This window comes from Homo sapiens, chromosome 19 (assembly GCF_000001405.40).
Source record: "Homo sapiens chromosome 19, GRCh38.p14 Primary Assembly".
Lineage (NCBI taxonomy): Eukaryota > Metazoa > Chordata > Mammalia > Primates > Hominidae > Homo > Homo sapiens.
The window spans coordinates 33,562,780-33,574,451 of record NC_000019.10 but is presented as its reverse complement, the minus strand read 5'-3'; the positions used below and the strand labels follow the sequence as shown (position 1 = coordinate 33,574,451).

Genomic DNA, 11,672 nt, shown 5'->3' with positions numbered 1-11,672 from the left:
TCTCTGTCACTTAAAAATTGACCTTGATGAACCCTGAAGTAAACTTACTTCATTTCTTGTGCTGGACAATTGGTGGGCTTTTTAACTGAAGAGAATTATGTCCCTCAACCATGGGAAACTGCCTTATAGTATTTTTACAATTTCCTCCCATTTGTTTTTTCTGTTGTCTTTTGTGGACTGCTGTTGACCAGGCAGACTGAGCCTTCTACATTTCTTCTCTTTCGGGACTCCTGGGAGGCTGAGCAAGCAACAGGCTGGTCTTTTTACTGGACAGACTACATATGCAATGTGTGGGGTTCTTCTCTCAGTGACAGCCCAGTTATTCCAGAAAGAACCTGCTGATATTCTAGCCAGGAACATGGAGTGTGTTTGCATGGTGTGTGGAATGTGCTGTGGTGTGTGTGGGGGTTGGTGGTGGTGGGTGGGTGGTATGTGACTGGGGAAATGCCATATCTGGTGAGTGAAGGAGGCCTAGCAATCCACACTGTTCCCCAGACATCTCTTATGCCTGATGCCCTAAAATTCAACTCCTTGGTTCAATTTCCTAATAAAATGAAACTCCAGCCTCTCATCTCCTGGATATTGAGCAAGGAGAGAGACTCTGGCATTTCAGAAGCTCAATTTACAGCTTTTTCACCAATTCCTCTGGTTTTGAAATTTTTTGGTAAAATATATGTAACATAAAATTTGCCAATTTTAACCCTTTTTAGGTGTACAATTCAGTGGCAGTATGTACATTCACAATGTTTTGTAACCATTACCACTATCTACTTCCAGAAATTTTTCATCATCCAAAACAGAAACTCTGTACCTATTAAGAAATAACACCCCATACCTTCCTGCCCCAGCCCCTGGGAACCTCTATTCTACTTTCTGTCTGTATTTATTTGGCCATTCTAGATACTTCATACAAGTGGAATTATACAATGTTTTCCCTTTTATGTCTGGCTTCTTTTCCTTAGCATAGTGTTTTCAAGGTTTTTCCATGTTGTAGCATGGGTCAGAATTTCAGTACATCTTGGGGCTGAATAACACTCCATTGCAGGTATATATATATCTCACATTTTTTAAAATGTATTCATCCATTAATGGACACTTGGGTTGTTTACACCTTTTTGGCTATTTTGAAAAATGCAGCTATTGAGGCAGGAGAATAGAGTCTGGAGGCAGAGAACCTTAGGCTGATCCATGCTGACTTCCTAGAACTGAATCAAGAGGAAAACCCTACCTTTAAGTAACAAAAGGATCAGTGGCTACTCCCTTTGCAACTCCCAACCCCTTTTCTGCATTGCAGATGAAAGACGAAAGTACCTCTGATTGGTCCCCTCTTGCAACCAATCAGACTGGTCACAGACCAAGTCTTCATCTGTAACTTTGTAACTTCACTTCGGCTTCTGGTTGGCCACCTTCTGCAACCAATTAGACTGGTTGCAAACCACTACTTTATTTACATAGGGTGTAAACCAAGTAACCAATAAAAAAAATCTCTAGAGGGTATTTAAACCCCAGAAAATTCTGCAAGGGGGCTCTTGAACTGCTTGCTCAAGCCTGCTCCCACTCTATGGAGTGTACTTTTATTTCAATAAATCTCTGCTTTCATTGCTTCATTCTTTCCTTGCTTTGTTTCTGCATTTTGTCCAATTCTTTGTTCAAAATGCCAAGAACCTGAACACCCTTCACCAGTGACACTCTGCTTATGGGTGTACAAGTATCTATTTTCATCCCTGTTTTTCAATATCTTGGATATATACCTAGGAACAGAATTGCTGGATCACATAATAATTCTATGTTCAACTTTTTGAAGAGCCACCAAACTGTTTTCCACTGGGGCATCACCATTTTACATTCCCACTAGCCATGCACAAGTTTTTCAATTTCTCTACATCCTCATCAACACTTGTTATTTTCTGGTGTGCTTTTAAACTTTTTTTTCTTTTTTGTAAATTATAGCTATTCTAATTGGTGTTAGGTGATATCTCATTGTGGTCTTGATTTGCGTTTCTCCAATGACTAATGATATTGAGCATATTGGACTCTTGGACGCTGAACCATATAACTAATGATATTAGCCAATCATCTTGTATTGGCTATTTGTATATCTTTTTTGGAGAGACTTCTATTCAAATTCTTTGCCCATTTTTAAAATTGAGTTGTTTGGGGATTTTCGTTGTTGTATTGTCCATTTGCAGGAGTTTTTATATATTCTAGATAAAGAAGGATTTACTTCTGCCATTTAGCTATTTGTTTTCTGTATGTCTTACATGATTTTTGTTGTATAATTCCCCCATTGCTGCCTTTTTAAAAATTTAGTTGATTTGTTTTGTAGTGTATCATTTTGATTCCATTTTTCTTTCCTTTTCTATATGTGTTTAGGTTATTCTCTTAGTGGTTACCTTGGAGATTACAAATAACATCTTAAACTTATAACAATTAAATTTGGATAATAGTTTCAATAGAATATAAATACTCTGTTCCTATACATCTTCATCCCTCCTCTTTACATTATTATTGTCACAGATTACATTTTATACCTTATGTGCCCATTAACATAGACTTACAATTATTGTTGTATACATTAGTTTCTTAAATCAGGTAGGAAAAAGGGAGAAGTTACAAACCAAACCAAAAGTATAAACCAAAACCAATCCAAACCAAAGGAAGTTACAAACCAAGGAAAAATAATATTGGCTTTTATATTTATCTATGTAGTTACCTTTACCAGTGTTAGTGTTATTTCATCTTACAGCTTCAAGTTACTGTCTTGTGTGTGTGTGTGTGTGTGTGTGTGTGTGTGTGTGTGTATCCAGCCTGTTAGCATTTCTAGGGCAGGTCTATTTGTAATGATCTCCCTCAGCTTTTGTTTTTCTTGAAATGTCTTAATTTCTCCCTCATTCTTAAAAAATAGTTTTGCCAGATGTTGAATTTTTGATTGAGTTTTTTTTCCAGGACTTTCATATGTGACCCCACTGCCTTTTAGCCTTCAGGGTTTCTAAAGAGAAATCAGCTATTAAGTTTTTGATGATACCTTGTACGTGATGAATTGCTTCTCCCTTGTTGCTTTCAAAATTCTCTCTTTGCTTTGGTTTCGGCAATTTGAGTATAATATGTCTCAGTATGGATCTCTTGAGTTTATCCTGTTTGGAGTTTGTTGAGCTTCTTGAGTATCTATATCATATCTTTCATCAGATTTGGGAAGCCTTTAGCCACAATTTCTTTAAATATGTTTTTCTGCCCCTTTCTCTTCCTTCTTCTGTAATTCCTATAATGCATAGTTATAGTTGATGACATCCCATAAATCCTTCAGGCTCTATTTATTTTCCTTCATTCATTTTTATTTATGTTCCTCAGACTGGATACTTTCAATTGTCTTATCTTCATGTTTGCCGATCCTTTCTTCTGCCTACTCAAATCTGCTGTAGAATGCTTCCAGTAAGTTTTTCATTTTAAGTTATTGTATTTTTCAGTTCCAAGACCAGTTTGGTTCCTTTCTTATAATTTCTCATTATTGATATTCTCATTTTTTAGACATTATTTTCTCAATTTCCTTTGGTTTTTTAATCCATGGTTTCTTTTAGCTCATTAAATGTGTCTAAGATAATTGATTTAATGTCTTTGACTAGTAATTCCTATGTCTGGTCTTCTTCGGGGATGGTTTCTGTCAAATGTTCTTTTCCTGTGAACAGGTCATACTTTCCTATTTCCTTGTATGTTTTGTACTTTTTTTGTTGAGTACTGGGCATTCTGATTATTATTGTGGTAATCCTGGAACTCTAACTCTCACACTCCTCAAGGATTGTGGATTTTTGCTTGTTAAGGATGGAGCCATCCATCTGTGATTTTTTTCCAGATTATTTTTACAAATTGTGATTGCTTATTGCATGTGGTCCTTGAAGTTCCTGTTCCGTTGTCTCTGTCAGTCAATGACCTGACAAAGATTTCCTTAAATGTTTGGCTCCCAAAATTGTTGAGGTGAGGGGAGGGAACAGGGAAGTCATGTCTCTTTAAATCCCCTCACAGCAGAAAAGCTGCTCTAGCTCTTGTGATCTGAAACAATGGCTGGACTCTGTGCCAGTCCCCCAGAGGTCAAAAGGATCAGCAATCAAAACACACAACTCTAATTTTTGGAGGATAAGGTTCTTATTCCCCACCCTGGCACCAGCAAGTCACACCAGGAATGCAGGCCACTGTCCCCACAGCTGTTTGCCACGGGGCTGGCAGGTGGGGGATGGTAGCCAGTACGCAAACATGGAAATGTATTAAAATTCACCAGCTTCTCCATTAAGTTTTCTCTTGGATGCCGAACGTGTTCAACTAGACTGCAGAGTTCCAAAATAGTTGCTTTAGACAGCCCTTGCCAGATCAAAACTTGTTAGGGTGGAGGGAAAGATTCCTGCAGCTTCTAACTGCACTCTTCTGTGACGTCATCCAACTCCCTTGTTTTTAATCCTCCTAAACTCTCATTCCCAGTCCCAGCTTCCGGAATCCATCCCCACCACTTGCCTGAGGTTCTGTGTTAATGGGCATGTTACAGGAAAGGGGTTTGGATTCAGACTCCAAGAGAGGGGGGATTCTTGGATCTTGTGCAAGAAAGAACTCAGGATGAGTCTGTAAAGTGAAAGCAAGTTTATTAAGAAAGTAAAGGAATAAAAGAATGGCTACTCCATAGATAGAGCAGCCCCAAGGGCTGCTGGTTGCCCATTTTTATGGTTATTTCCTGATGATATGCTGAACGAGGGGTGGATTATTCATGCCTCCCCTTTCTGGACCATAGAGGGTAACTTCCAGACGTTGCCATGGCATTTGTAAACTGTCATGCTGCTTGTGGGATTGTAGCAGTGGGGACAACCAGAGGTCACTCTCGTCTCCATCTTGGTTTTGGTGGGTTTCTTCACTGCAACCTGTTTTGTCAGCAAGGTCTTTATAACCTGTATCTTGTGCTGACCTCCTATTTCATCCTGTGACTTAGAATGCCTTAACAATCTGGGAATGCAGCCCAGTAGGTCTCAGCCTCATTTTATCCAGCCTCTATTCAAGATGGAGTTGCTGTGGTTCAAACATCTCTGACAGGCTCATGCTCACCAGTCTCCTCTAAAGCACCTCAGGTGCTTTCTCTGCTCTGCCTAGTAAGATTGCCTTCCTCCAAGTTCTGCCTTCTGAAATTCATTGAAATCTCTCGTTGCTACTCTCTCCTCATTTGCCTTTGTCCTTATTGTTTTATACCTTTTTAAATTGCTTCACTTTCATGGTGGCAGTGTACCCACCTGAGAGATTCTTCATGCCCACTGCACAAATAAAGACCACAGCATTGCAGTAAAGAAAGAGTTTAACTGACAAGAGGCCAGCCACGCCACACAGGAGACAGAGTTGTTACTCAAATCAATCTCCTCAGAAATTGGGGGACAAGGGTTTTTAAGGGTAACTTGGTGGGTAGAAGGTTGGAAAGTGGTAAGTGCTGATTGGTTGGGTTGAAGATGAAATCATCGGGAGGTGAGGCTGTCCTCTTGCACTGAGTCAGCTCCTGGGTGGGGGGCCCCAAGACCAGATGAGCCAGTTTATCGATTTGGGTGGCATCAGCTGGTGCACTGGAGCAGAAGATCTGCAAAAGCACCAATCTCAGATTTTGCAACAGTGACTCCTACACCATAATTTCTAATCTTATGTGGCTAATTTTTTAGTCCTGCAAAGGCAGTCTAGTCCCCAAGCAAGAAGGGGGTTTGTTTTGGGAAAAGGCTGTTATCATCTTTGTTTCAAAATTAAACTGTAAACCAAGTTCCTCCCAAAGTTAGTTCGGCCTATGCCCAGGAATGAACAAGGACAACTTGGAGGTTAGGAGCAAGACGGAGTTGGTTCAGTCAGATCTCTTTTACTGTAATAATTTTCTCAGTCATAATTTTGGCAAAGGTGGTTTCAGCAGGGTTGGGACAGGGAGGACAAAATGCCTGGGGTCAGGCACAGGTGTTTAGAGGGAACTCAAGGTTTTGTTACTGTCCAACACCTGATTTCAGTGCAAGGCAGCAGCTGCCATTGACTGTCATCTGTTCCTCTGGGTATTGGCTACCATGGTCAGTAGAAATGGTGGGGCAGGAAGTTGGCAAGCTTTTTGCCAACTAGTATGGCCAAGTCATGGCAGGAGGGTCAGCTCTGGGCTGTGTTTAGGGGAAGACGAGCCAGAGTGTGATGTCTGGGGCTCCTGGTCACATGACAGGAGGGGATGCTGAATCCAAGCAGACCGGAACCTAGTCCTGCTGAATTCCAGGGCAGTCTGCTACTGCAGCTTTGCTCTGAGTCCCGTGCTACATGCCTTAAACTAAACGCGTAAATAATAGGTGGCTTTGATGCTGAGTGGGTTCCTCAGCCATCTGGATCCAGAGAGGAGTGAGTGAGCCTCTGTGAGCTGGGCTCAGGCTGCCATGCCCATACCAGTGTCTAATTGCAAGCGGGTGTCAGTAACTCTCCCAGGCCTTGGGAAGGCATCTCTTTTTCCTGGTCTTTGGTGTTTAATATTAAGTTTCAGCCAAGCTCATGATCACAGCTGTTGTCAAAGTATCTGCAGGAAAATCCGTTTTTATTGAAGCTGAAAAGGTCAGTTTTCTTGGACGTCTCCATGGTGAAAATAATAAATGCAGCTCATTCATACCCTTATGATATTTAGGCTCTTCAGCTGGAATGACCCTTGGGAAAAGATGCCTGAGATTTTAATTACGTTTCTCATCCTTCCCACCACAGTTGCTGCAGGAGTGATGGGCTGGCAAGCCATTCCCCTCCCTGGGTCGTTAGGTAGAGGTCAGGGAGTTGGCAACCTTGCCAGGGGGCATCTAGCTTAGCCTGGGTGAGCCCCAGTGGACCTGCTGGCTGAGAAAAGCAGTTCACCCACTGGGTCTACAGTGTGGCCCAAAAGTTATGTGGCTTCTGCTCTTCAGGGCTTGACCCATCTTTGGCCTGAATTTGCAGAAGGAGGGGTCTCTCCCCTCTGCCTATCCAAACCCCATCTGCACATAGGGATTCCCTTGGGGGAAGGTGTGAGCAGCCAAGGCTCATATTGTGAGCCTTGCCAGCTTCTGGTCTCTGAAGATTAGCCCAGTATCCAAGGCAGCTCAGCAGCTCTGCAGTGAGACGACTAGTGTCAGAGGCGTGTGAACAAGAGCAACTCCATCTTGAATAGGAGCTGGGTAAAATGAGGCTGAGAACTACTGGGCTGCATTGCCAAACAGTTAAGGCATTTTAAGTCACAGGATGAGATAGGAGGTCAGCACAAAATACAGGTCATAAAGACCTTGCTGATAAAACAGTTTCCAGTAAAGAAGTGGGCCAAAACCCACCAAAATCAAGATGGAGGCGAGAGTGACCTCTGGTCGTCCTCACTGCTACACTCCCACCAGCGCCATGACAGTTTACAAATGCCATGGCAACATCAGGAAGTTACCCTTTATGGTCTAAAAAGGGGAGGCATGAATCCACCTTTGTTTAGCGTAACATCAGGAAATAACCATGACAATGGGCAACCAGCTGCCCTCGGGGCTGCTCTGTCTATGGAGTAGCCATTCCTTATTCCTTTACTTTCTTAATAAACTTGCTTTCACTTTACTCTACAGACTTGTCCTGAATTATTTCTTGAGCGAGATCCAAGAACCCTCTCCTGGGGTCTGGATTGGGATCCCTTTCCTGTAACGCTAGGAGTACAAGTGCATCTCACCTGGGATTCCCCCATGATGGACTGAGGCGCAGGGAGGGGTGATCAAGAAGGCAGAGAAATAGATGCTGAGAGGCCAGGCGCAGTGGCTCACGCCTGTAATCCCAGCACTTTGGGAGGCCAAGCGGGCAGATCACCTGAGGTCAGGAGTTCAGACCAGCCTGGCCAACATGGCAAAACCCCATCTCTACTAAAAATACAAAAATTAGCCAGGTGTGGTGGCAGGCACCCGTAATCCCAGATACTCGGGAGGCTGAGGCAGGAGCATCACTTGAACCTGGGAGGCAGAGGTTGCACAGTGAGCCGAGACTGCACCACTGCTCTCCAGCCTGGGCGATAGAGCAAGACTCTGTCAGAAAAGAAGGGAGAGAGAGAGAAAGAGAGAGAGAGAAAGGGGGGAGAGGAAGGAAGGAAGAAAGGAAGGAAGGGAGGGAGGGAGGGAGGAAGGAAGGAAGGAAGGGAGGGAGGGAGGGAGGGAGGAAGGAAGGAAGGAAGGAAGGAAGGAAGGAAGGAAGGAAAAAAGAAAAGGAAAGGAAAGAAAAGAGATGCTGAGAAGGCAGGGTGAGGCCCTACTCCAAGGAGGGCAGGCGGTAAGGAGTGCAGGGAGAGAACCAAGGCAGCCTGCTGTTTATGTCTTTGTAGGTATTCATTCCTCATGAATCCAAGCGATTAGTGTGTCACCACTATCTTTTGATGTTTACTAGTTTTGCCTGGTCTCTAGCAAACCCTTTCAACCTGCAGATTTAGATCTGTCTTCAGTTCAGCCAGGTTTTCCTCTTTTATTTTTGAATATTTTTTCTTCCTTGTTAGTCATGTTCTTTCTTCATTAACACCCATCCTCCTGATTGGATTTCCAATCTCTTTTCTTCAAAGCCGCTGCTCTGCCGATTATTGCTTCTAACTTCTCTGGTCCTTTTTTTGTTCGTTTGTTTTGTTTTGTTTTGTTTTGTTTTTGGTGCACTCTGAAAAAGCCTCTCAAACCTATGCTCCATGTCACCGAGTCCACTGTCTGCAGGGTTCTCACAGATTCTCCCTGTCGCTGACCCTTCTGCGATTTTGCTGTGATGTTTGTGTCCTTGGATGCTTTACCTGACTACCAGCTCCATTTCCACCACAGCTTGTCCTCATCCTCTCTTCCCCATTTGGTTTGCAGATTCAATGTTTTCATTTTGGAAAGAAAACCTTACATCTGTTTCCTGGAGTAAATATTTTTAGAATTCTGTTTTTTCTCTTTCCTTGATATCATGACAATACGGTTTTCTGCTCCATCTGTCTTTTCTTCAGGGGGCTGGATAGCTGAGCTCACTCTCATGCCCAGGCTTTTGCCTGTCAAGTTGAGGGCATCCCCATCCCACTGTGTGAGTGAGCTGCATCTCTCTTGTTCAGGAAGGGGGCCCCAAGGGCAGATGGAGCTCACTACAGTGGTGAAGGGGCCATTGGAGAAGAGGCCAGGCCACAGAATTCTGCCTGCTGGAAACACTGGGTCTTCACGGTCAACAAAGCATCCTCATGACTGCTGGTTCCCGGACACAAAAGGTGCTCATGAGCAGCCTACTCATGTCTAGCCCACCTCTGCAAGTTTGAGGGGGTTCAAGAAGGAGTTCCTCCATCCCAGGAAATGCTCACGTCAGCATCCCAGGGCTTCTAGGTGCAGCCAAGACTGTGCCCATGTATCTGAAGCTGGGGTGTCTGCAGGCCCTTAAGACAAGGCAGGCACTGGCCCCATCTCCCCAACGGCTGCCGCCCCTGCATGCTCACCCTGGAGAGGAGGACATGACTTTCCACTAGCGTGTCCTTGACTTTCTTTCCCACACCATGCTGCCTCCCCTGGAGAGAGGGCTGTATGTCTGCTTTAAGCCAAAAATTCACTCTGGTCTCAGCAGCCTAGCACCTGACAGAAACTCCTTGAAGTTTGCAAAATGTAGCTGACGCTTTCACTGAGTTTCAGTAGGACTTCTCCGATTTTTGTTTTCTTTTTTTTATCCCATTCTTCTCACTTCAGACAATGGCCATCTTCATTTATACATCTCACACCTGGTAAGTTACAGGCTATGTCAGTTACCACTGGCCCCGCAAATGCATTTTACATACACATCTATGACTAAGGAACGTAGTGAGTAATTTTTCCTAGTGAAATTTTCATAAGGGACAAAAGTATTTCGTATGCATGTAAGGGTGATGGCATGTCTCTAGGGAATTTGGAGAGAAAGCTCAGCTGCTTCTTCTAAACATGGAGAAGATCACAGGGCCAACCTCAAGTTCTGTGGCTTAAATTAATTAAGACAACCAAGACTTGTGAGGGCCTTGGGGTGCCTGACCCATGGAGGAGATCAATAAGTGAGGTTTAGGCATTATTTACTCTACCAAAAGTTATTATTCTTTTTTTTTTTCCTTTCTTTCTTTTTGAGACAGTCTTGCTCTTGTCACCCAGGCTAGAGTGCAATGGTACAATCTCGGCTCACCGCAACCTCCGCCTCCAGGGTTCAAGCGATTCTCTTGCCTCAGCCTCCTGAGTAGCTGGGATTATAGACACCCACCACCATACCCGGCGAATTTTTGTATGTTTAGTAGAGATGGGGTTTTGCCATGTTGGCCAGGCTGTTCTCGAACTCCTGACCTCGTGATCTGCCCGCCTTGGCCTCCCAAAGTGCTGGGATTACAGGCGTGAACCACCGTGCTTGGCCCAAAAGTTATTACTCTTATTCCTGCTACAACTCAACCTCCTTGGTTAAATTGCTATGCTATGGTTAAATCATATTGCGTATTCACAGCAATATATATGGCAAGCTCTAAAATACAAGAGACTTAAGGTTGGGCTTATCCTCTTACCTCCAGTTCAAGGCCCTAAGAACTTTGACTAAAGAATATTGGTGGATCAGCCTACCAGTTCTGGGGTGCCAAAAAAACAGCATTGTAGTACTTGTGTTTATCCTATCAAATTAATCTTGCCCCAGACTTTTTCAGGAATAATAAGTGCAATGTTATTGTTCCTAAATATAATATAAAAATATTTACATATTATAAATATATAAATATACAATATATAAATACATAATATATAAATTGTATAAATATGTAAATATATAATATACATATTATAAATATGTAAATATATAATATACATATTATACATACGTAATATATAATATAAATATTATATGTAATGTAACTAACATAAATATTACAAATATGTGAATATATAATATATAAATATTATAAATGTATAAATATTTAGGAATAATAAATACAATAAACTTTATCTTAGGAATAATAAATACAGAGTTTCCTAAAAACTCTTTAGAAATAATAAATACAATAAATAATAATAAATATAATGCAATAATAAATACTAAATACAATAATAAACAATAAATACAATATATAAATAATAAGTACAAACTTTCAGGAATAATAAATATAATAGATACAATAATAAATACAATAGATAATAAACACAATAGATAAATAATAAAATGCAATACAATAAAACGCAAGGAATAATAAATACAACACAATAAACAACAGTAAATACAATTATTTTTTAGGAATAATAAATAAATACAAATATTCGTATATACACACACAGAAAGAAAAGTGACTTTAGAGAGATGCATTTATACTTAATTTTGTAACCCTTTATATCACATGCAGTAGGAGTTAGGATTTGCCTTCAGCCCCCAAGGCAGGCCCTTCTTCCCAGCGCAGCCTCTCAATCCTGAAACGCAGCCTCACAGCCCAGAGCTCCAGCCGCCTCCTCACTGGTGCCTTTCTATCGTTGCTGTTTTCTCAGAACACAGTTGGCAAATGAGGCGCTGTGGCCTGGGCTGTGATGAAAGGAAACCTTGAGCATTTTCCAGCATCGCGGCTGCCCAGTGCCTGCCCCAGGGATGGTCCCCATCTCTGGACTCTGGAGTTCCCTGCTGAGTGGCAGGAGAGGAGAGCTGCATGGGGCAGGCGGCACCTTGGGCTTAGGTGGCCTTGG

At 42.3% G+C, this 11,672-nt stretch overlaps 2 annotated features.

Annotated features, from left to right (window-relative positions):
- Positions 6,475-7,306: an enhancer, noted in NCBI's record as "OCT4-NANOG-H3K27ac hESC enhancer chr19:34058052-34058883 (GRCh37/hg19 assembly coordinates)". NCBI's record gives its function as "activates a minimal SCP1, AML or CMV promoter by ChIP-STARR-seq in naive H9 embryonic stem cells {active_cell/tissue: H9 hESC(naive)}" and the evidence as "EXISTENCE:reporter gene assay evidence [ECO:0000049][PMID:30033119]".
- Positions 7,307-8,139: an enhancer, noted in NCBI's record as "OCT4-NANOG-H3K27ac-H3K4me1 hESC enhancer chr19:34057219-34058051 (GRCh37/hg19 assembly coordinates)". NCBI's record gives its function as "activates a minimal SCP1, AML or CMV promoter by ChIP-STARR-seq in primed H9 embryonic stem cells {active_cell/tissue: H9 hESC(primed)}" and the evidence as "EXISTENCE:reporter gene assay evidence [ECO:0000049][PMID:30033119]".